Here is a 26,574-nt window from a genome sequence, read left to right on the forward strand (position 1 = left end):
GCACACATTATTAGCAGTGATCTGCTAATTTTAGCATCTTTTGCGGTTGGATAGGCTGAGAATTTCTCAAATCATCTAGTCCTGGCTCTTTTTGCTTAATGATTCTTTCTTCATTTCTCTCTTTCTTCTAGCGTCTTAGTGTAAGCAGCAAGAAGAAACCAGCCTGCATCTTCAATACTTCACTTAGAAATCTCCTGAGTTGAATACCCAAGTTTACCACTTTTAGTTCTGCTTTCCACACAATGGTAGGTCACAATTCAGTGAAGCTCCCTGTCACTATATAACAAAGATCACTTTTCTTCTAATTTCTAATAACACTTTTCTCATATTCTTCTGAGCCCTCTGAGCAGCATCTTTACTGTTCATATTTCTACTAATCTTCTGTTTCTGGCAATATACGCATTCTCCAAGACAGTGGTCTCCAACCTTTTTGACACCAGGGACTGGTTTTATAGAAGACAGTTTTTTTCCCATGGAATAGGGGTTGTGGATTGTTTTGGGATGAAACTGTTCCACCTCAGATTACCAGGCATTATTTAGATCCTCAGAAGGAGCACACGACCTAGATCCCTTGCATGCACAGTTCACAATATGGTTTGCGCTCCTGTGAGAATCTAATGCTGACGCTGATGTGACAGGAGGCAGAGCTCAGGGAGTAATGCTGGCTCACCCGCTGCTTACCTCCCGCTATGTGCCCTGATTCCTAACAGGCCACTGGCTGGTACCGGTCTGCAGCCTGGAGGTGGGGGACCCCTGCTCTAAGATGACAGAGGATCTCTCTACTGTGCTTCTCACTTCTTTCTGAGTTTTCACCCGTTGTGCCTTTAATATTTCTACTATTTTTCTACTAATATTGCTACTAATTAGTAGAAATATAGAAATATATTTTATAGAAATATAGAAATATAGAATATTTCTACTAATAGTCTGTTTAAAGCAACCTATCTATCATGTGCCTCAAAAATGCTTCCAGGCTCTGTCCATCACCAAATTCCAAAGCCACTTTCACATTTTTAGGTATTTGATACTGCAGCACACTGCTTCCTGGTACCAAAATCTGCATTTGTTTCTGGTGGCTGCTGTAACAAGTGACCACAAACGTGGTGACTGAAAACATTAGAAATTTATTCTGTTACATTTCTGGAGCCCAGAGTCTGAAATCAGTATCCTGGGTCAAAATCAAGGTGTCAACAATGCTGCACTCATCCTGGAGTTCCTAGGGGACCTAGGAATAATTTCCTTGTCTCTTCCAGCTTCTAGTGGATACTGGTATTCCTTGGCTTCTGGTTGCATCCCTCCAGTCCTTAAGGCCAGGATCTCCAAATATCTCTCTACTCCATCTTAACATCACCTCTTCTCTGTGTAAAATCTCCCTCTGCTTTCCTGTAATAAGGATACACGTGATTGCATTTAGAGCTCACCTGGATAATCCAGGCTCATTTCCCCATCTCAAGATCCTTAACTTGGTCACACAGGAAAAGACCCCTTTTTAGCCACCTAAGACAACATTCACAGATTTCAGGAGTTAATGCCTGGATATCTTTTGAAGGTGCATTATTTAGCCTACTACAACTTGAACACCCCTTCAAGACCTGGACTGTGCCTCTGGATGCAACAATCATAGTATAACCAGGAAACAGAAACTACCTATGTATTTAAAACCCTGAGACCTCACTCCATTTATCTCCGTGATTGTCCTATTTTCTGCGCGGCACCACACAAAGCTGTCACAACTTGTCTTCTAGATGCCACACTCATGATTTTCTATTAATCTCAAATGCATTATTTGGGAAACTCCAATCATTTCGTGAGTGAGCACAGCATTGCGGAGTCGGGTTGTGTCAGCAGCATATAACTGGCATTTAAAATGCACTAAAGCAAAAGTCAGGAGACTGGGTTTAAGTCTTGCATGTTACTTTGAAGAACTTGAGACCTATGGCCAGTGACTTGGCCTTTCTCACTCTTAGTTAATTCATCTGCAAAATGAATATTAATGCTTATGGAGATTAAAGTGAAGTGACATATGAGAAAGGCTTTGCTAACTTAAACTTTTAGTGAAATAACAAATACGATGAAAATAACATGAATCTTGACCAAGATGGTCTTAATGAGAGAGATTTATTTCTTTTTCTAGGCCCCTGACCTCGCTTTTCCTAGAGCATTTAATTTAGAAAACTTGCAATCAATTCTTCATCTACCTCTTTGAGATGTAAATCTTCTCCCAGCCTCTTGCCAGTTTTACAATCAAGGATTGTTTTTCTTAAGGACCTGGGAGCCATTCGTCTGAAATGTAATCATCAAGGAAGATAGTACCCTTATCTTCCAGTCTCTGTGGGGTGGGGGGAGGGTAGGAGCCTAACTTCAGTGAGAGTCTTGCTCCAGGTTGTAAAACTACCTCTTGTCATGAAGATAACAGAAAGTTTACTTTTTCTTTGGGTAAGAGGCAGATGGCCTTATGATATCCCCCATCTCAGCTTTTAAAGACTCTCCATGTATTGTTTCAGTGTAGTTGAGTTAATACTGATCTCTCTTTACCATTACAATAGCCTTAAATAAAATCTTCCTTACTTGTTTAACTTAGTCTGATGCAATTTTGCTTTGATAATGGTTTCACATAATAACCACCACACTTTAATCCTTTCTGTCAAGACTCTCCAGTATGAATGTAGAAGTGATATTACTTTCAGAGAAAATTATTGAATACTTTTTCATTTTCAATCCTCCAAATTTATGTCATGTTTATGCTTTGAAGAGCATGAGAGAACTTGACTCTTGATCCCCTCCTTGCTGGATATGTCCTTTTTCATCATCTCATTTTTATGACTCCCCTGTGCAATACCCTAGTTATGCTTATTTTTCCTTATTTACAGCTGTTAAATGATAATTTTCAAAAAAAAAAAAAAAAAAAAAAGGGAAAATCATGACTCCCATACAGGTATAAGATAGTTGTTAAAGCTTTTATTTAACTCTTTAATTAATGAGGGAACTAAGTAGATGTTTAATAGGTTCAAAAGAGAATCCTAGCTTCTCCACAGAAGGGAGGAAAGTCAATTGACTCTTAGCAGAATTTCTACAGGCAATAATTATTTTGCATCACTATCAGTTATCTACAGCTTACAGAGATGTAAAATAGCTTCCATAGTATCATAATTCTGCTTATGTGTAGACAATGTATAGTTTTCCTTTGAAGGACAAATTTTCCCTTACACAGCATTAATTCATTTTCTTTTTTACAATATGATGCAGAGTTGCAAGATGAAAGTGCTGGAGAACTACTGAAATTCCTTGGAGTTAGGATTTGGGTAACTGTTTTATTTATATATATTTTTAAAAAACGGAAACAAGTTGAAAGTACTTTAATAGAAGTCAGCCAACGAACCTGAGGAAGGATTTAATGAAAGTACTGTTATGTTAAAGGACAATGAGGTTCAGAATCTCAAGATGGAAATAACTTCATTTTTAGTGCTACTGATGTGTAGGGAGGGAGAAAATGTCAATTTGGTCAGAGTGCACAAGATTTTTTAATATTTGAAATAGAGTTGGCCTGTTGGATATAACCCTTGAGCCCTCTGAACCTCTGAAGAATGGTTCTTTTAACAGCTACTTAGGACCGAGATAACGGAGCCAGGCAGCTCTGGGATGAAGCTGCAAGAGCTTGGGCAGGAGGCAGGCTCAAAAGGGACATTCATGGGTATGGGATGAAAGGGTATTACACTGTCTAGTGGTTCATTCTGACCTTAAAAGTCCTCAATGCCAAGTTTCATCAGTGCTGAGTGATCTTTGCTCTCAGTTTAGTGTGCAATATCATGTAGCATAAAGTAGTTATTGTTAAGTGTCCTCACATTTTAGGGACAATAGGAACAACATGCAAATTAACCATGGGTAGTATTCTTGGCCATATACAATTATGGGTATTTAAAATTTTTAGATGCTAATTAAGCCCGAAGTTCTTTGTGAATAGTGCCAATTTGCCTCCAAATAACATGTTACAGAGATAGAATAATTCACCATAAGTGCCTGCACCAGCAACAGTGGCTGGCACATATATAGATGCTATTCAATAAATCTGCTTGGTATTGACTGATTGGAAAAGCATCCAAGAAGAGTTTCCATTTTTCTCTGATAAAACACACTTGATGTTCAGTTGTTGACAAAGAAGTGGCTGACTTCAAACAGTGGTGATGTGACTTGGTGGTACTGTCATGCACACTAACTCAACCTTACTTTTTCTTAGAGTTCCTATTATGTTACGTAATCTTTATGTCCTCTGTTCATCTTTGGGGAACCAAACTATAGGATTCAGGAACACGATGGCAGTGTAAATGCAAATAAATGTGCACATTTAATGAAAAAACTCTAGCTTGGGAAACTTTCTTGCACTTTGTGGTTGGAGAGTTATCTACAATGTCATCATCCCCAGACATGTTTGTAATCATAGGTATAATGCGTCTTGATTTCCAAGTAATAGGCCTATTGAACTGAACAATATGGGAACAGAACACACTGACCTCTCTGATGACAGAAACTATTAACTACTGTCCTTATAAATCACGGGGCCTCCAGGGTGGTGCTTTCAGAGGTGACACAGCACCTCTTGCAGCTCTTCCTCCTCCTACTCTTCCTCCTTCTTTTGAAGGCAAGTAGCTGAATAGGAGAAAACACAATATAAAATACTAAAAAAACCCAGCTAATATAATGTGAAATATTGAAAGATAATATTTTTTTGAAGATGCAAGTGATTATCTATCTAATTTGAACCAAAGAGAATAAATAAATCCTTTAGAAAATAGGAACAAATTAGGACACATTTTTTTTTAGCCTTTCAAAGTCACTTCAGGAAAGATTTCAAAGGTCTTTTTGTAACTTTTGCTTTTAATTATAGAAATAATAAATGTCCATTTTAATAGAAAATAAAAGTAAATTATGTAAAAGAAAACTAAAGTTTTCACCTAGAGAAGAACAATGAGCATAATTCGATATATAATCTTGCACTGCTTTCATGAGACATTTACATATTTATAATTATAAATATTTATATATGATGTGTAGTAATTTTATACTTTTTTCTGTTGACTCATTTAAAAATATTTTTGTAGCCTTTTTTCATTTAGTATATTGATGTCTTATGATGTCATGAAAAAAATCTTCCATTATTATTGTTTTAGAAGTACAGTTTGCTTCTAAATAAATTATACATGCACATGTGGAATATATGTAAATACAGAATAGATATGTATTTAATAGGGATACACACATATATGTGTGTGTGTATATATATATCTTGCTGTTGCTTTTTATATTATAGATCTCCTTCTATTATTACATTTAGTTTTATGTAGATACATTCTATTAAGAGTAAATATTACACAGATAGAATGAAGACACTTTATTTATAATTCTTCAATATATAGAATTCGTTTTTACTTATTCAAATATGTAATCCTTTTCTACATAATCATATGCATGTTTACTTTCATAGAGCATGCATACTACTTTATTCTCAAGCAACCAGAAGTCCTTGAATGTTTTCTGAATAATCTATTGGCCTATTGTCATCTCAGAATAAACCAGTAATATTTCTCCCATATATTCTATTATTTTCAATTTTTGTTAATCATACTCTAGCCCATTTGGAACTTACCATTTATCTGTTATTTAAGAATTACATTTATTGCATTATTTTTCTCAATCTTTTATGTGCTTGATATGGAGCTCAGATAATGTATCTCTCAGTAGTTTCTGCTAGAAAGTATAAGAGGATGACAGCAAGGGAGTTGATGTATTTATTTCAGGACCTTTAGGAAAGGTAGAAAACACAACAATCTGAACTCTAGTTACTAAACCCAACTCCATTCTTCCTGACAGAAAGCCCCTGTACGCAGAAAGAAATGTATCTGATGAATTGTAGCTGAGCAGAAATGAGACTTGTGTATAACAACTATCTGAGGCAGCTCTTAATTAGCCTTTCCTGTTAACAAGTGGTAAGATGAGGCCAGGCACCTGGCACATCCCAGAAATTTGGGAGGCCAAGGTGGGGGGATTGCTTGAGCCCAGGAGTTCGAGGCCAGCCTAGGCAACATAGTGAAACCCCCATCTCTACAAAAAATGGGAAAAATTAGCCGGCATGTTGGCACGTGCCTATAGCCCCAGCTTCTCAGAAAGCTGAGGTGGGAGGATCACTTGAGCCTGGGAGGTTGAGGCTGCAGTGAGCTGTGATCATGCCGCCTGCACTCCAGCCTGGGCAACAGAGCGAGACCTTGTCTGAAGAAAATATAACAAATAAAGAAAAAAAATAGTAAGATGAGACATCTAGCTGTTGAGAAGTCTCTAGACCATTTTAATATCTTCATTCCTATATCCAATGACCCATTCTAAATACAGGCTTGCCTTATATTACAGGTGAGTTAAAAAAGAAACAGAGATGCTTACAGCTTTTACTTCAAATAGGTTATCATAAAATCCTATAGGATCCAGTTTCCTGAAAATCTGTAAGGAACAACATTTAAATTCATGGAGTTCATCTCTTTATTCCATACTTCTGAGCTTGAGGAGCCATTAGTCTTGTTTCGGAAATTAAAGAATATTTCCCTGTTTCAAAGCTGTTGTAGAAACTGCTTTCCTATATTCTACATCTTACGCAAATCCAGAATGAGATTCAGATAAGATTCAGATAGCATGTTCAGGGTCTCTCTGCTTTTTATATTAAAACTCTAGAAGTTTCTGCTTTCTTGTTGAAAGCAGCACTCTTGAATGGCAGACCTCATGTTGGTAAATGATAGATGCCTTCAAAGACTTACTTGACACATTTGATGGGGAAATCATATAAGCCCTTTGGTAGAGAAAGGGGGAAAGTCATTCTAGCAGGAGAATGATGGCCATTTTTATCAAGGGGTTTTATGTTTGATCTCTGCATGTATCTGCTTGTATCTAAAGAAAAGAAAGTGTATGAAAAGAAAGGTAGAAAAGCAAAGGTCCCAGGATTGCAGATAGACTTCCTTAATTATTAGTAAACTAATTTTTACTGACAATCAGAATAACGCTAGAATAAAGAAGTTAACCCCCAGGTGAGACACATACCTCTTTCTGGGATAAGCTTTGTGTGCATCTGAGCCATAAATTAACTCTGTGGTGTCCACAGTTGAAGAATGAAGCTCTTTTCCCCTTAGAGTTAGTAATAGTGAGGGTATATTTGAAAACAGATTTTGACCTGACATGTTTTATATTCTAAGGGCACTATGATCTAGGACAGACACCTAAATCCTATATCTAAGCACTATTATGGGTGGGTTTTTCCTTTAAATTGTTAATTAACTTGAGCATCAAAACGTCTCATGCTGAAGATTACAGAGAGAATTTTTATTGCCCTGGTATAAAAAGATTAACTGCCACTGATTGCTTTCCTTTTTGCATGTCATGAGAGAAACATAGATATTTATGCAGAGGAAGGTATAATCAGCTGTGGGTGGAGGCAGACACAACCATTCCCCAATTAACTTCATGGACATTAATCAGCAGAGAACATCTGAGGGAGTGTGAAGACAAATGCTTGAAATGGAATTGTGTACACATAAGTGAATATACAAATTATGCCATTGTGTCTGATCACTTTTATGTGACTCTAATTAGGATGCCAGCCACACTAAAATCCTTTCCTGTGTACTTTGTGTCTGATGTCTTTCAAGCAGCATTGTGATTTGGCTTATCCATATTTTTGGATATAGTTGCATTCTCATTTATGTATGAATTTCCATTGTATGAATTTAACATATACTACAAATTACTTATTTTACTGTTGATGGGATTTTAGGTAATCTATTAGTTTTTGGCTCTTACAAAAATTTATGCCTTGAATATTCTAGACAGTGGATGGCAATCTGTGGTTTAGGGCCTGTTACTGTACAGCTGGTGACCAAAGATTTTTTTAAATTTTTATTTTAAAGAATTTCTGAGAACATAAAGAAGATCCTGTGACAGAGGCTATAGGTAAACTTCAAAATCTAACAGATTTAATATCTAATTCTTCACAAAAATTTGCTTATTATGTTTTAGATCATGACTTTCCTAAGGACCTTTTACTTATTTATACTGCTTGGGATTCAAAGAGCTTCTTGAAACTGTGGGTTGACTTCTTTCACAAGTATTGTAAATTCTCAGCTACTATCTTTAAAATATTGCCATGCCCCATTCTTTATCACTTCAGGTTTTGGTAATCTAATTATACATATTTATACTTTTTGAGTATGGCCCATATGTATCTTACATTATTTCCTTCATTTTTCCACTGAGTGCTTTAGTTGAATACTTTCTTTTGACCTATCTTCCAGTACAGGCATAGAGAGTGTGAAGATAAATGCTTGAAATGGAATTGTGAACACATCAGTGAATATACAAATTATGCCATTGTGTCTGATCACTTTTATGTGACTCTAATTACGATGCCACCCACACTAAAATCCTTTCCTGTGTACCTTGTGTCTGATGTCTTTCAGACATCCTTTCAGATGTCAGAGATATCAGAGTTATTGTGGGTTTGGTTTCAGAGCACCACAATAAAGTAAATATTGCAATAATATAAGTCACATGAATTTTTTGGTTTCCCAGTGCATATAAAAGCTATGTTTACACTTTACTGTATTCTATTAAGCTTGCAATAGCATCATCTCTAAAAAATGTAAACATCTTAACTAAAAAAAACTTTATTATGAAAAAATGCTAATGATCACCTAACCCTTCAGCAAGTTGTAATGTTTTTGTTGGTGGAAAGGCTTTCCTCAATATTGATGGGTGCTGACTGATCGGGGTGGTTGTTGCTGAAGGTTGAAGTGGCTCTGGAGATTTCTTAAAATAAGACAACAATGAAGTTTGCCGTATCCATGGATTCTTCCTTTCATGAAAGAGTTCTCTCTAGCATGCGATGCTGTTGGATAGCTTTTTACCCACTGCACAATTTCTTCCAAAATTAGAGTCAGTCTTCTCAAACCCTGTTGCTGCTTTGTCAACTAAGTGTATGTAATATTCTAAATCCTTTGCTGTCATTTCAACATCTTGCGTGAAGGTGCTGTGAAGGTGCACAGCATCTTCACCAGGAGTAGATTCCATCTCAAGAAGTCACTTTCTTGGCGCACTCATAAGAAGCAACTCCTTATGCAATTCAGTCACATCTTCAGGCTCCAATTCTAATTCCAGTTTTTTTATTATTTCCACCACATTTGCAGTTCCTTCCTCCACTGATGTCTTGAACCCCTCAAAATCATTCATGAGGATTGGAATCAACTTCTTCCAAACTCCTGTTAATGTTGATATTTTGACCTCTTCCCATGAATCACAAACGTTCTTAATGACGTATAGAATGATGACTCCTTTCCAGAAGGTTTTCAATTTACTTTGTCCAGATCCATCAGAATAATCACTAGTGATGGCAGCTATAGCCTTACAAAATGTATTGCTTAAATAATAAGACTTGAAAGTAAAAATTACTCCTTAATCCATGGGCTGCAGAATGGATGTCACGTTGGCAGGCACGAAAACAACATTAATCTTCTTCTACATCTCCATCAGAGCTCGTGGGTGACTGAGTGCATTGTTAATGAGCAGTAACATTTGGAAAGGAATCCTTTTTCCTGAGCAGTAGATCTTAATAGTGGGCTTAAAATATTCAGTAAACCATGCAATAAACAGATGTGCTGTCATCTATGCTTTGTTGTTCCATTTAGAAGGAACAGCAGAGTAGATTTAGCACAATTATTAAGGGCCCTAGGATTTTCAGAATGGTAAATGAGCATTGGCTTTAACTTAAAGTCAGCAGGTGCATTAGTCTCTAACAAGAGTCAGCCTGTGCTTGTGAAGCTTTGAAACCGGGCATTGACTTCTCCTTTCTAGCTATGAAGTCCTAGATGGTATCTTCTTCCAATATAAGGCTGTTTTATTTATGCTAAAAATCTGTTTAGTGTAGCTACCTTCATCAATGATCTTAGCTAGATCTTCTGATAACTTGCTGCAGCTTCTGCATCAGCACTTGCTGCTTCACCTTGCACTTCCATGTTATGGAGATGGTGTTTTTCTAAGGAAAGAACCTCATGAACAGCCTCTGCTAACTTCAAACTTTTCTGCTGCAGCTTCCTCCCATCTCTCAGCCTTCACAGAATTGAGAGTTAGGGCCTTGCTCTGAATCAGGCTTTGGCTTAAAGAATTGCTGTGGCTGGTTTCATCTTCTCTCCAGACCATGGAAACTTTCTCCACGACAGCAATAAGGCTATTTTGCTTTCTTATCCTTTGTGTATTCACTGGAGTAACATTTTTAATTTCCTTCAAGAGCTTTTCCTTTGCATTTACACCTTGGATGTCTGGTACAAGAGGTCTGGCTTTCAGTCCATGTTGGCTTTTGACATGCCTTCCTCACTAAGCTTAATGACTTCTCATTTTCGATTTGAAGGAAGGGATGTGTGTCTCTTCCTTTCACTTGAACACTTAGAGGCCATTGTCAGGTTATTAATTGGCCTAATTTCAATATTGTTGTGTCTCAGGAGTAGGGAGGTCCAAGGAGAGGTAGAAAAATGGGGGAATGGTTGGTCAGTGGAGCAGTCAGAATACACAACTAATATTTATCAGTGAAGTTTGCTATCTTATATGGATGCAGTTCGAGGTGCCCTAAAACAGTTACCATAGTAACATCAAAGATCACTGATCACAGATCACCATAACCGATATAATAATAATGAAAATGTTTGAAATATTGGGAGAATTACCAAAATGTGACTCAGAGATGTGAGGTGAGCATGTTGTAGAAAAATTGTGCCAATAATGCAGGGTTGTTACAAACCTTCAATCTGTAAAAACTGCAGTATCTGTGAAGGGCAATAAAGTGACATGTGTTAAAAAGAGATATGCCTTTTATAATCTTATATCACTTGAATTTGTTAAATACAAACTTTTAAAACATCTATTGTGATCTTAATTTCGGATTTTTTTTTTTAGTTTTAAAACACGCCAGTGATTACTTTTATAGATTTTAGCTTCTTATTTTTAAACACATTTCTTCCATCTTTTTTCTATTACTTTGAATATACTATGAATAGTTATTTTAAAGTTATTGTTTAAAAAATCCAATATCTGGATGATAGCTGAGTCTTTTTTTTTTTTGGTTTTGATCATTTTGTCCCTCTTGTCATTCCTGCTAATTATTATTATTATTATTTTTAAGACGGAGTTTCACTCTTTGTTGCCCAGGCTGGAGTGCAGTGGTGTGATCTCAGCTCACTGCAACCTCCGCCTCCTGAGTTCAAGTGATTCTCCTGTCTCAGCCTCCTGAGTAGCTGGAATTACAGGCACCCACCACCACAGCCAGCTAATTTTTGTTTTTTTTTTTAGTAGAGATGGGGCTTCACTATGTTGGCCAGGCTGGTCTCGAACTCCTGACCTTGGGTTATCCACCCGCCTTGGCCTCCCAAAGTGCTGGGATTACAGGCGTGAGCCACCACACCCCGCCATCCTGTTAATTTTTTAAATTAAACTTTTAATTTTGAGATAATTATAGATTTACATGCAATTGTAAGAAATAATACAGAGGGGTCTCATGTACTGTTTATGCATTTTTCCCCGGCGGTGACACCTTGAAAACCTGTAGCACAATATCACAACCCTGATAAGGATTTTGATACAGGTGAACTACAGAACATTTCCATCACAATATTGCCCCTCATGTTGCCTTTTTATAGCTACATCTGCTTCCATCTCATCCTCACCCTTTTCTTAACCTCTGGGAAGCACTAATCTCTTCTCCATTTCTACACTTTGTCATTTTAAGAGTTTTATGTAAATGCAATCATACACTATGCAACCCTTTGGAATTGGCTTATTTTCACTCAGCTAATTCTTTGGAGATTAATCCTGGTTGTGGCATCTATCAATGTTCTTTCCTTCTAATTGCTGAGTAGTATTGCTTGGTATATATGTACCACAGTTATTTTAAGCATTTACCTATTGAACGACACCCGGATTGTTTCTAATTTTTGGCTATTAGTAATTAGGCTGCTATAAACATCCATGTACTGGTTTCTGAGTGGACATAAGTTTTTTTTTCTTTTTTAGAAGGAGCCTTGGTCTTTTGCCCAGGCTGGAGTGCAGTGGTGTGACCCTGGCTCACTGCAACCTCCATCTCCCGGGTTTAAGTGATTCTCCTGCCTCAGCCTCCCCAGTAACTAGGATTACAGGCATTTGCCACCATGCCCAGCTAATTTTTTATATTTTTAGGTAGAGACAAGGCTTTGCCATGTTGGCCAGGCTGGTCTTGAACTCCTGAGCTCAAGTGATCCACCTGCCTCGGCCTCCCAAAGTGCTGAGGCTGAGTGCTCATATAGGCATGAGCCATCATGCCTGGCCATGAGTGGACATAAATTTTTATTTCTCTGGAATAAATGCCCCCAAAACCAAGACTGGTCATAAAGCAGCTGTATGTTTAGTTCTTTAAAGAAACTGCCGAGCCAGGGAAGGCTGGACATGGTTGCTTATGCCTGTAATTCCAGCACTTTGGGAGGCCCAGGTGGTCGTATCGCTGGAGCCCAGAAGTTTGAGACTAGCCTGTGCAACATAGTGAAACACTGTCTCTACAAAAAATTATAATAAAAAAATTATCCAGGAGTACTGGCGCTCACCCTGTGCTCCCAGCTACTTGGGAGGCTGAAGTGGGAGGATCTCCTGAGCAAGGGAGGTCGAGGCTGTAGTGAGCTGACATCCTGCCACTGCACTGCAGCCAGCACTCCTGCCACTCCATTCCACTCCAGTGACAGAGTGAGACCCTGTCAAAAAACCCAAAAAGAAACAACAACAACAACAAAAAAACCAACAACACACACACACACACACACACACACACACACACACACACACACACACACACACAAATCTGCCAAGCTGTTTTTCAGAGTGGCTGTATCATTTTACATTTCCACCAGCAATGTATGAGTGACCCAATTTCTCTATATTCTCACAACATTTAGTGTTGTCACTATTTTTTATTTTAGCCATTCAGATAACTGCATAGTGATTTCACATTGTGGTTTTAATTTGCATTTGCCTAATGCCTAATGTTGAACATCTTTTCATTTGCGTATTTTCCATCTGTATAGCCTCTTTGGTGAACATCTCTTCATGTCATTTACCTATTATCTAAATGAATAATGAGTTGTTTGCTTCTTTTTTTTTTTCCTATTGAGTTTTGAATGTTCTTTATATGCTTTCAATACTAGTCATTTGTGGAATGGGTGGTTTTGCAAATATTTCTGCCCAGTGTGTAGCTTGTGTTTTTATCCTTTTAATAGGATCTTTTTTAGAGGAAAAGTATTTTTGATGGAGTCCAGTTTATAAATTTTTCCTTTTCTGGATTGCGCTTTTGGTGTCAAGCCTTAGAAGTCTTTGCCTAGATTTTTTCTCATGCTTTTTTTTTTTCTAAAAGTTTTATAGTTTTACATTTCAGCCTTGATCCATTTTGAGACTTTTTGTGTGTGTGTAAGATTTGGACTTAGATTGATACTCTTTTCTTTTGCCCATGGGTGTGAAATTGCTCCAGCATCATTTGTTCAGAAAGACTCTTTCCTTCATTGAGTTGATTTTGTACCTTTGTCATTACTTGGGCATATTTGTTTGGGTGTATTTTTTGGGTTCGCTCTCCTGTTTTATGACCTATGTGTCTCTGTCTGTCAATACCACACAATCTTGATTACTGTAGCCATATAATAAGTGTTAAAATCATTCACTCTTTTACTCAAGAAGCTAAAAAATGTGTTAAAATCAGGTAGGATGATTGTTGTCACTTTATTCTTCTTTTCAGTAATTGTTTTAGGTCTTTCAGTTCTTTTTATTTTCTATACAAATTTTAGAATAAACTACCTATATATACAAAAAGTCTTACTGGGATTTTAATAGAAGTTGCGCTAAACCTTTTGGATAGAATTGATATATTTACTATGTTGAGTCTTTCAATCTACAAATATGGTGTGTCTCTTCATTTATTGAAGTCTTCTTTAACTTTTCTTCATCAATAGTTTGCAGTTTTCTCTGTACAAGTCCTATATATGTTTTATTAAGTTGAAAACTAAGTATTTCATTTTTTGGAGCAATTCTAAATGGTATTTTATTTTCAATTTTGTGTCTACTTATTCATTGCTAGTATATAGAATATAATTTTTTTTGTATATTTATCTTATATCTTGAAATCATGCTGAACACACTTATTAGTTCTTTTTTTTAACTTTTATTTTAGGTTTGGGGATACATATGAAGGTTTGTTACATAGGTAAACACATATCACAGGAGACTGTTGTACATATCATTTCATCACCCAGGCATTAAGCCCAGTAGCCAATAGTTATCCCTTCTGCTCTTCCCTCGGCTCCCACTCTCCCCACTAAGTAGACCTCAATGTCTGCTGTTTCCTTCTTTGTGTTTATAAGTTCTTATTGTTTAGCTCCCACTTTCAGCAAGTGTTTTTTTTTAATAGGTTCCTTGGGATTTAAAAATGTAAATAATTATGCCATCTATAAATAGAAGCAGTTTTATTTGTTCCTTTCCAATCTTATGGCTTTTTCTTTTCTTGCATTATTGCACTGGCTAGAACTTCCAGCACTATGTTGAAGAAGAAAGGTGAGAGTGAACATCTTTGCCTTGTTCTCAATCTTACTAGGAAAGCAATCACCACTAACTAAAGGGTTGTCTGTACTTTTTAAAGATGCTCTTCATTAGGTTGAAGAAGTTCTCTGCTACTCATACTTTTTTTTTCTGAGAGTAAGTACTTTTTATCATTAATAAGTTTGAGTTTTGTCAAATTCTTTTTGTACATCAATTGATATGCTCATGTGATTTTTAAGTTTAGCTTGTTAATATGGTAGATTACATTGATGGATTTTCAAATATTAAACCCATCTTGTATCCCTGAAATAGACCTCACTTGGTTATGGGGCATAATTCTTTTCATATATTGCTTAATTCTGCTTAATAATATTTTGTTAATAATTTTTAAATCTGTATTTGTGAGAGATATTGGTGTGTAGGTTTCTTTTTTGTACTGTTACCTATTCTTCTATTTTCTTGAATAGACTGTGTAGAATTGGTTTTAATTTTTCTTTTCTATTCTTTTTTTTTTTTTTTTTTTTTGAGCTGGAGTCTCACTCTTGTCACCCAGGCTGGAGTGCAGTGGCGCAATGTCAGCTCACTGCAACCTCTGCCTCCCAGGTTCAAGCGATTCTCCTGTCTCAGCCTCCCGAGTAGCTGGGACTACAGGCGCCTGCCACCACGCCCAGCTATTTTTGTATTTTGAGTAGAGACGGGGTTTCACCATGTTGGTCAGGATGGTCTCGATCTCTTGATTTCACAATCTGCCTGCCTTGGCCTCCCAAAGTGCTGGGATTACAGGTGTGAGCCACTGTGCCCGGCCTTGTATTTTCATTTTCATTTAATTCAGTGTATTCTTGATTTCCCATGACACTTCCCCTTTGACTCACGAGTTATTTAGAAATGTGCTGTTTCATTTCCTAGTGTATGGAGATTTTCCTGTTGTCCTTCTGTTTATATCCAGTTTAATTCTACTTTGCTCAGAGAACACACTCTGTATATTTCAATTCTTTTAAATTTGTTGAGTTTTTGGCCCAGAATACAGTCTAATTTGGTATATGTCCAATGGCATTTGAAAATAATGTATACTCTGTTATTGTTGGTTGGAGTATTTTATAAATGTCAATTAGATTATTTGGGTTGATGATGTTGTGTTCTTCTATCCTTGCAGATTTTCTGTCGTGTTCTATCAGTTGTTGAGAGGGTGGTGTTGAAGTCTCCAACTACAGTTGTACATTTGTTTGCCTTATGCCTCCTTTTACTTCTATTGGTTTTGCTTTACATATTTTCAGCTGTCATTTGGTGTGTACACATTTGGGATTATGTCTTAATGGTTGATTTGCCCTTTAAGCATTATATACAAATCTTCTCTGTCTCTGGAAATTTTCTTTGCTTTAAATCTACTTTATCTGACATTAATATAACCATTCCTGTTTTCATTTGATTAATGTTTGTGTAGTACATCTTTTTCCATTCTCTAACTTTCAACTTGCCTATATCATATTTTAAGTGACTTTCTGTAGATAGCATAGAGTTAAATCATGTTTTACATCCATTTTGCAATCTATGTCTTTTAATTGATGTCTTTAGACATTTACCTTTTTTTTTTTTAAATAAAAAAAGTTTACAGTGGCATAGCAGGAAACACCTTTTTTTTTTTTTTTTGACAGAGTCTTGCTCTGTTGCCCAGGCTAGATGGCAGTGGTGCAATCTCAGCTCACTGCAAACTCTGCCGCCCAGATTCACGCCATTCTCTTGCCTCAGCCTCTCGAGTAGCTGGGACTACAGGAGCCTGCCACCACGCCCAGCTAATTTTCTTTTTGTATTTTTAGTAGAGGTGGGGTTTCACCGTGTTAGCCAGGATGGTCTCTATCTCCTGACCTCGTGATCCACCTGCTTCAGCCTCCCAAAGTGCTGGGATTACAGGTGTGAGCCACTGCGCCCGGCCTCAGGAAACACTTTTTAAGGGATTTTTGTAGAACCTTGATTTTAAAAAAATGTAACTAGAGTGACCAACTCATCCTGGTTTGCCCAAGTCTTTCCCAGTTTTAACACTGAATGTCCTGTGTTCCAGGAAGCCCTACAGTCCTAGGCAACCAGGACAATTACAGATCATTTACTTTTAACGTAGTTACTGATATATTAGGGCTTAGGTCTGAAATTTTACTTTATATTTTTGTTTGTTCTCTCTGGCTTTTCTTTCTCTGTTTCTTCTTACTGTCTTGATGTGAGTTACCTGAACATTTGTTTTTTTTAGAATTTCACTGGGTTTTATCTATAGTGCTTAGGAGTAAATCTCTTTGTAACTTCTGTTAGTGATTGCTGTAGGTATTATATTACATATACATAACTTATCACTGTCTACTGGTGTCATCATTTCACAAGTTTGAGTGAAGCATAGAAACTGCACTTTCCTTTAAGTCCCTTACTCTCTGCTATTTATAATTGTCTTGAAGATTTTCTCTACGGGGCAATTAAGAGCCATATGAAGCAACGTTATAAATTTTTTGTTTCCACCATCAAACATAATTTATAAAACATATTAAGGAAAGCCTATTGCATTTACCCACATTTTTGCTTACTATGCTCCTCTTTCTTTATGATACTTTTATAATACTTCAAGTTTTTTTTTTTGTTTTTTGTTTTCAGTGTCTTCTCTTTTTTTAGGAACTTCCATTAGGGCCATTCTTTTAGGGCAGGTCTCCTGATGACAAATTCTCTGCTTTTCTTCATCTGAGAATATTTTGATTTCTTCTTCACTCCTGAAAGACATTTTCAGTGAATATAAGTTCTGGGTTAATTTCTCATCAGAAATCATGGAATCTAGAAGAAAGTGGCACCAAAAAGTAGGGGAAAATGTCTTGAGAAAGAAACGGTATTCAACAGATAACCCTATGAATTATGCACCTATAGGTAAAGTGGTAAACGTAGAGGTTAAATATGTGAATTATGTTTTAAGACAGCTTCAGATTTCTCTGTGTACTTTAGACTTACAGAAGAGAATAATTTAGATCTGCAGGTTTCAGGGGAGAGAAAAAAGGGAGAGGGAAATAAGAGAGGTAGCAGGAGCTCATTCAAAAGCATGTGGCTTGTTTAAACAGAAATGAAGTTTCTTAAAAAATGTCTTCTACATTAACATTTTCTACATTACCTTAACCTTAATCAACTTCTGGTTTTTCATATTTCATCTTGGAAGGCTGCCTCATTTCCTCCCAACAAAATTTTCTAAAGAGATCCAAGAATAGTACCAGTTTTCAACACAGAAGTATAAAACTACTTTCTGCTTGAGTGAAAGATTTTTAAGACTTGAAAACTTGATTTGCTGCCTGTTGGTTTGGAAATGGTGGCCAAACTACAAAGAAATTACCCTGCCTTGGTGATGTTCCAGAAGTAATTCTGGATTATAAGGTTTATTTTGGGAGCACAGATATTATTCCTAGGGAATAATACTAGGAACATACTAGGGAGAGGATTTTGCCATATTTCCAAGTATAGATATACCTCTAAACTTAAGTGAGTAACTTGGAAACATGTAAGAATATTTAGGTAACCTGAGATTAAACACAGGATAGAAAAATTGCCTTTGCTTGCTAAGGAAATTAGATAAGGCCATCTTAAATCTTTGTTAAAAAGACGTTCTTAGGCAGGGCGCCATGGCGCATGCCTGTAATCCCAGCACTTTGGGAGGGTGAGGCAGGTGTGTCATGAGGTCAGGAGATTGAGATCATCCTGGCCAACATAGTGAAACACCATCTGTACTAAAAATACGCAGATTAGCTGGAAATGGTGGCATGGTGGCATGTGCCTGTAATCCCAGCTACTCAGGAGGCTGAGGCATGAGAATTGCTTGAACCCAGGAGGCAGAGGTTCCAGTGAACCGAGATCGTACCACTGCACTCCAGCCTGGTAACAGAGGGAGACTCTGTCTCAAAAAAAAAAAAAAAAAGATGTTCTTGTGGGTGAAGCCAGAGAAAAAGCCTATTCCCAAAAAGGCCATGGCTGCACAATACTATTTTGCTTCCTTTGTCCAATGGGTATTTGAAATTGTGTTGAATTTTCTCTTACCCAATATGCGCAATTATAATAAAATATACAGAGAGGAGCATTGAGTCCAACCATCATCAAGTCTGACAATCTTTTACCTAATAGCAAGTAAACTATTGTTTGTACTTGATATTTTGTGAGTTTGAGTTTAAAAAAGGAATCTCAAATTCCTTTAATTGAAGAAATATATACAAATCCACTCCCTCCAGTTCCTCTCACTCTAGGAAACAAAATCTAGAAGCACATTGTGCTGTAAAAATCCAGAATTTCCAAAATGTTTGTTACAAGTGGTTTGTAAATAGCCAAGAAGAAAGGGATATGTTTTTAGTGTGGCCTTGATGGAGAATTTCATGAGGGAAATAGGCAGTTGGTTTAATTTTATTGTATTCAATTTTAAGTGGTGTTTTCAAATCTAATATTAAAAAATTAAAAGCGTTACTTTAAATTTGGTGGCCTCAAATGGTGGTGCTATTGGGTAGAGAATAGATCTAACAAAGAAACATATTAATTAATTACCATTGTAATGATCGTAAGATTAATAATGTTGACTTTGTGCCCTAGAGTTAAAAATGTTAGCTTATTAATAAAAAAAAGTTATGGAAACATGTTTGGCAACATAATATGGTTTGAGTTGGAAGATTATTTTCTTATGTTAGAAATTGATAAACTAGTTTTGTCTAATAGAACTTGCTGTGATAATGAAAATATACCATATTACAGTGGATATTGAGCAATTCAAATGAGAATAGTAAGATCAGGGAACTCAATTTTTTTCTACTTTTAATTAATATAAATTTAAATTTAAATAGCCTCGTATGGCTGTCGGATTAGGCAACACAGCTATAGACTGTGAAAATAAGGACAGTAAAGAAAGGCTGTGATAATTAAATGTTTAGAGTCCTGATTATTTACAAATTGTCATTATAAGTGCCAGAGTGCATTAATGAGAGCACAAATAAGGCTGACAAATCATGACCTTCTTTTTTTCTTTTAAAAACATCTTAGCATCGAATCTGTAAGATCATAATTATCAAATCTCAGACCATCAAACAAGAAACACATGCTATTCAAACATTTTTAACCCTAAACACTCACAGAAATTGTTTCAATGCCTCTCCCAATGTCCCCATTCCATTTCTGATTTTACTCTGTTTGGATCATGTTAATGCCAGGATCTTTATCTTGTCCTGAACCCCCAGTATCTAACAAAGTCTACCACACAGTGGGTGCAATTAGTATACACTGAATAGTTGCAAGTATGCTGATTGTTAGTGCATTTGACTAGTCTATGGTTCTTGAATGCAGGCAGCTCAATATCTGTCTTCAGCATCATGCACAGTGAATGGTATAGGGCAGGCAGCAGTAAATGCTTGTGAATGGACTGCTGGACTTTGCATCTGTTTGTTCCTCTAATCCTTATCAAGAAAAGCTAAATGGAAATACACGCTTTCCCTTTTGCATAAGCCAGAAAAGTTCAGCGTGAATACTTCCCCTCTGTTGACTTCCTGCTTATAACTCTGCATGTTAAATGCCGAGTTTATTGCCAAGAGCTATGAGTCTTCTACATTTGGAAGAGAAGTGAATTTTCTGGAATGAATACACAAAACGTCTAAGGAAATGCATACACTTAAAAATGTTTTAGCCAGGTGCGGTGACTCATACCTGTAATCCCAGCACTTTGGGAGGCTGAGGCAGGTTGATTATGAGATCAGGAGTTTGAGACCAGCCTGGTCAATACGGTGAAACCCTGTCTCTACTAAAAATACAAAAATTAGCCGGGCATGGTGGCATGTGCCTGTAGTCCCAGCTACTCGGCAGGCTAAGGCAGAAGAATCACTTGAACCTGAGAGGCAGAGGTTGAGGTGAGCCAAGATCGCGCCACTACACTCCAGCCTGGGTGACAGAGAAAGACTCCATCTCAAAAAAAAAAAAAAAAAAAAAAAAAAAAGGTTTTGTGGCGGGGCACGGTGGCTCACACCTGGCCTGTAATCCCAGCACTTTGGGAGGTCAAGATGGGTGGATCACTTGAGGTCAGGAGTTCAAGACCAGCCTGGCCAATATGGTAAAACCCCGTCTATACTAAAAATACAAAAAATAGTCAGGTGTGGTGGCATACATGTGTAATCCCAGCTACTCAGTAGGCTGAGGCAGGAGAATCGCTTGAACCTAGGAGGTGGAGGTTGCAGTGAGCTGAGATTGTACCACTGTACTCTAGCCTGGGAGGCAGAGTGAGTGAGACTTCATCTCAAAAAAAAAAAAATTTTGTGACTTGCAAGTCATCTCCACTTAGAAGCAAAAGCAGTCTCTTCTTTCTTATGTTGACCATGTCTGCAGCAGCAAAGATGCCAACATCTGCTTAACCATCTTTTTCTTAGTACTTGGTATACCCCCTCATTAGAAAGGGTTTTTTTTTTTTTTTTTTTTTTTTTTTTTTTAAGAAAATGATTTTTTGAGGTGGTGGGACACAGCAGCAGAACTCTTAGAAAGAAGTCAAAGAGGTTGCTGGCTTCAGCCTTGGGGAAATGAGCAGCACGGATGGCCCAGGTCATTGAGATGTGCAAATGGAGTTTTGTATCAGGGCTGTAGTTGTCTGTGGTACTAATGATGTGTGCCCACAAAATCCCCTTAGGCCTTCTTGAGACCCTTGGGGGAACATTTTCCATTGCAATCTCTGAAATAATGTGACAACCTCTTGTAAAAGCAAGGGAGGACAGTGACTGTCGAGATGCTGTTCGAATTTCCTTGGAGGTTGCAATCATTTTTATTAAATTGAACTTTGGTCAGTTTTTTTCATAATAAGAAATTAATTGAAGGATTTGGAGGATGTGGTTTCTTCTCTGTGCAATCCAGAGTGGTTTAGATTAAAGAGAGTATCTGTGATTGGTTATTGACTAAGAATCTAAGGTGTTCTCATCCTGTGTTTTGTGTATTTTGGTGGACACAGGAAGCACAGGCACATCTCACATACCCCATAAATATATGTGATAGAGGCAGGAGGCAGAGAAATTCTAGGCAGAGAGGGTGTGTCACCAATAAATCCCCACCTTCAAGCTGAAAAGCCTGAAACCCACGACCCAAAGTGAGAACTTCTATCCCTGTTTGCCCACTCTCTCCTGATTGGTTCTTTCTGAATAATGTCTTTTTACCAATTCAATGTTGCCTTTTCCAAAACTACCTGCAGCCCACCCTGCCCCTCATCCTGTGTCTATAAAGACCCCAGACTCAGTTGGTAGAAGAGAGAAGTGGCTTGATTGGAGAGAGGTGACTTGACTTCAGAGGGACAGCTAGACGTCATGAGAGATGGCTTAACTTTGGAGAAAAGCCCCAGAGATGGCCGGACTTCAGATTATCTGCCCATCCTATCCTCTCTCCAGCTTCCCTCTCCACTGAGAGTCGCTTCCGTTGCTAAACAAAATACTCTGCCTCCGCCATCCTTGAAGTGTATGTGTGACCCAATTTCTTCTTGGACGCTGGACAAGAACTTGGGACCCACCGCATGCAGGTACGCAAAAAAGGCTGCCACACTGGCCCTTTGCCCTTGCTGGTGGAGGGCAGCCACCCCATGTGATGAGGCAAGGGGCCCACTGAGCTGATAACATGCTATTGTCCATAGGATGGCGGAGCTAAGAGAGTATTGTAACATGCCCTCTGGGGCATCAGGGGTTGCAGACCTCCTGATCTGGGTGCCACCTCAGGGCCCACACAGATCCTGCTCCTGCTGGTGCCCAAAACAGCCAGCCAGATCCTGCACTCGCTTGCTTACTGCAAGAGGTTGAGTGTGGCGGGTTGAATAAATGGGGCACCCCTGTTGCAAGCCTGACAAAGGAGTTGAGAAAAACTCCTGCATCATCTACACCTACTAGGTCCCCACAAACATTAAGAAAACATCCCTCCGGGCCTGGCGTGGTGGCTCACACCTGTAATCCCTGCACTTTGGGAGGCCTAGGTGGGCAGATCACGAGGTCAAGAGATCGAGACCATCCTGGTCAACATGGTGAAACCCCATCTCTACCAAAAATACAAAAATTAGCCAGCTGTGGTGGCAAAGCACCTGTAATCCCAGCTACTTGGGAAGCTGAGGCAGCAGAATCGCTTGAACCTGGGAGGTGGAGGTTGCAGTGAGCTGAGATCCTGCCACTGCACTTCAGCCTGGGCAACAGAGCGAGACTCTGCCTCAAAAAACAATCAAACAAACAAACAACAACAACAACAAACAAACAAAAAAACCATCCCTCTGAACCACAGGCAGTTCTTGGATCACTTGCTCAGGGAGGAGCTAGCCGCTGTACCATAAAGACACTCAAGCAGTCTGATAGAGTCATCCATGAGATGAGGAACCACAACCAGCACCACAGCTTGCCATCCACATTAGTGAGTGAGCTACCTTGGAACTGATTCTCCAGCTCCCTTTAAAACTTCATAGTACTGTAGTCTAGGCAAACGTGTCAACTGCAAACCCACGAGAGACCCAGGGTCAGAAGCACCTGTTCAAATTGTCCTTAACTCCTTACCTAATGAGACTGTAGGCTTTCCACTTGAAGTAACCGGTACTTCAAAACTTGTTCTCTTGCTGTAAAAATTAGGAAACTAGAAAAACAAGTGAAACTGCCACCTAAGTGAAGGACTGCAATCCAGAGAAAAGGAAAATAAATGATGTGAGCTCTAGAACTGCTGTGGTTCTAATCACCTGGAGATCCTTTGTGGACAGTGACACAGGAAACAACAACTCAAGCAGATATAACATTCTCACTGAGTCGGGAAGACAAGAGACTAGAGTTAGGGGAGGATGACGTGGGTAGAATTGGAGTACTGGAAAAGCGAGAATCATGCAGAAAATAGCTCCGGAAATTAGAACAGGCATCATTTTGAGTCTGTTGCTAAATACTGAACTTCGCATATATAGGGTGAAACTCCATGAGTAGCATAAAGAACAACTGGGAGAGGCAAGCTCAGCGACTTCCAATACTTATAAAGGCAGAGAGACAAGTTCCATGCATTACTCTCTAGGAAAACTGAGAGGCCAGGCCTCAGCAGTAAGGTGAAACTAGTCCTAGAGTAAAGGCTATTCTAATCCAGACCTAGTAAAGCTTAAAAATAAGCTGGTCTGTGCTGGCTGCAGTGGTGTGCACTTGTCCCAGCTAACTGGGAGGCTGATGGCGGAGGATCCCTTGAGGCCAGCCTGGGCAACATAATGAGACTCTGTCTCTTAAATCTTTTAACAATAAAATAAAACCAACGGCAACAAAAATAACTGTTGGTGGCATGTGCCTGTAGTTCCAGCTACTTGGGAGACTGAGGTGAGAGGATTGCTTGAGCCCAGGAGTTCAGAGGCTGCAGTCAGCTATGATTGCATTACTGAACTCCAGCCTGACATAGTGAGACCCTGTCTCAAAAAAAAAAAAAAAAAGAAAGTTACTTAACTGTCTGCCAAGACTCTTAAGAAAGACAAAATAAAAAAACATGCAAAAAAGTAAATATATATAATATATATTTTATTATATACAACATAATATTCAATATATATTATATATAGCATGTTATTTACAATAAAATATATAGTTATGTATCACAAATATAATAAAATGTAGTTATATATTTTACATATGTACATATTGTAGATCTGTATATATAAAAATATGTATACATAGATCATATAAATATAAAATTACCATTAACCAAGAGAAATTCAGGGAATATAAACATACTTAGAAAAGGCAAAGGTGATGGAATTACCTCAAGGGCTTTAGAAAAGTCATTTAAAATCATTATGTTTAAAATCTTTAAATGTAATTAGGACAGAAATGGAAGATATGAAAATGAACCACGAACCAATGAGCATAAAAGTACAATATATAAAATGAAAATTCTATTGAGTCAGACTTAGAGCAGCCATTGAAAAAGGAAAGATCAGTCAACTTGAAGATGTACTAAAAGAAATTACATAAAATGAAGCACAGAAAGAAGTAAACACATTAAAAGAACAGAATCCCAGTGATTTGTGAGACAACATCAAACTATTGAACTTACATTTAATTGGTGTCCTCAGAAACAGAGGCTCAGAAATAATTTCTGAATAAATAATGGCTGAAAAATTTCCAAAATTAATGAACACTATAAAACCAGAGATCTAAAAGTTTTAATGAACCCAAGCAGGATAATTATGAAAAAGAAAACAGAGTCACATTATAAACAAACAAGATAGGGAATCAATATAAGTGTTCACTGCAGATGAATGGATAAAGAAAAAATGGTACATATATATACCATTTATATACATATGTATATATCATGAGAGAGATATATATATATCACGAAATATTATTCAGTCATAAAAAGAAAGAAATCCTGTCATTTGCAACAACGTGGATGGAGCTGAAGGTCATTAAGTTAAAGGATATAAGCCAGGCATAGAAAGACAAATATCACATGTTCTCACTTACATGTGGAAGCAAAAATGTTGATCACATGGAGGTACAGAGTAGAATGATAGCAGAGCTTGAGAAGGGTACTGAAAGGGAAGAGGAAGGGAGGTTGCATTAACGTGTATAAACATACAGTTAAATAGAAGGAATAAGTTCTAGTGTTTGATAGCACAGTAGGGTGACTATAATTAGCAGTAATTTATTATATATTTCAAAATAGCTACAAGAGAAGATTTGAAACATGCTCAATACAAAAAAATGATAAACATTTGAGGTGATGGGTATCCTAATTACCCTCATTTGATCATTACACTTGAACATATGTATAAAAATATCATGTGTACTCCAAAAATATGTACAATTATATATCAATCTAAAAAAGAAAAGAAAAAAGTGAGATACAAAATATGTATATAATATTATAGAATTAGAACCATTTTAAAGGCATAGAAATAAGATAGGAAATAAACACAATCAGATTAACTAATCAAAAAGGAATTTAAAAAACACATTTCTGAAAAACAGTGATAAGAAAAAAATTGTCTTAAAAAGCAATCAGAGATAAAAGACCCTTTACATATCGGGCAATAAAGATAAGAACAGTTTCAGATGTCTCATCAATAACTATGTAAGCCTGAAGACAATGGAATTACATTTTCTCACTGCTCAAAGAAGAGGAAGAGAAACAGTCTTGTAAACTTAGAATCTGAAATCCAACCCCAAGTATTATTCAAAAGTAAAGGCAAAATAAAGACTTTCAGACACACAAAATGGACTTTTTCAGACAAATAAAAGCTGTGCAGCAGACCTGTACTACAAGAGAGGTGAAAGGATGTTCTTCTAACGTAATATAAATGATAGCAGATGGAAAATTGGCTCCCACGTGGAGGAAAGAAAGGTGCTAAAAAAGGAGCAGAATTAATGCACAAAATGATAGTGATGGCTACTGCCAGTGATGGACGCAGAAAGGAACATGATCGGTTTTACTTGCACCAGTGCAGTGTTGTGACATAAACTTGCTTAATTGAATAAAGCACAAATTAAGCACTCATGAAAGCAAAATAAAATACAACAACAACAACAACACCAAGAGTAAATGTACCCTAAATTCAGACAGCACAGGGGATGTGGCAGAGGTGACTGGGGAGAGGACCCAGTCTGGGAGGGGATGCGTTGCCAGTTCTGTCTGCCTCTGTGCTTAAGGCCTCCTGAGAGTTTTCGCTGAAAAAAATGGCAGAGCCTAGGAAGCTTCAGAAACAAATTGGGTATCCGAGTTCTTACAAGATGATACTCCCCGCTAACGTGACATTTTCTGAGGATAATTCAGTAGTTGCTATGCTCTCTGTACGGGCTATGTGGTAGGAGGTACTTATATGCACTTTGTTATTTTCCTTTTTCATTTGGTTCTGTATCTCTTTTAAAAACATCTTGCCTGTATAAACGGAGTCTGCCCAGCTCCTCCCGAGCTTGGTGTGCAGGCTGTGTCCTGCTGCTGTCTGTGAGA

At 37.6% G+C, this 26,574-nt stretch overlaps 2 long non-coding RNA genes across 3 annotated transcripts in view, besides 1 other annotated feature; one reads left to right on the plus strand and one right to left on the minus strand.

The window, feature by feature from the left end:
* LOC105371348 (uncharacterized) overlaps window positions 1-26,574 on the plus strand; it is a 154,623-nt gene that overhangs the window by 74,207 nt on the left and 53,842 nt on the right. The window lies entirely within an intron of this gene.
* On the minus strand, window positions 1,105-26,570 carry LOC105371347 (uncharacterized). The gene is made up of 4 exons (NR_188488.1): window positions 26,503-26,570; window positions 17,175-17,366; window positions 4,509-4,644; window positions 1,105-1,383 (listed from the first exon to the last, which is right to left on the minus strand). It is a non-coding gene; the product is annotated as an uncharacterized LOC105371347 (long non-coding RNA).
* Window positions 1,974-2,662: an enhancer, noted in NCBI's record as "OCT4-NANOG hESC enhancer chr16:75870128-75870816 (GRCh37/hg19 assembly coordinates)". NCBI's record gives its function as "activates a minimal SCP1, AML or CMV promoter by ChIP-STARR-seq in primed H9 embryonic stem cells {active_cell/tissue: H9 hESC(primed)}" and the evidence as "EXISTENCE:reporter gene assay evidence [ECO:0000049][PMID:30033119]".

This window comes from Homo sapiens, chromosome 16 (assembly GCF_000001405.40).
Source record: "Homo sapiens chromosome 16, GRCh38.p14 Primary Assembly".
Classification (NCBI taxonomy): Eukaryota; Metazoa; Chordata; class Mammalia; order Primates; family Hominidae; genus Homo; species Homo sapiens.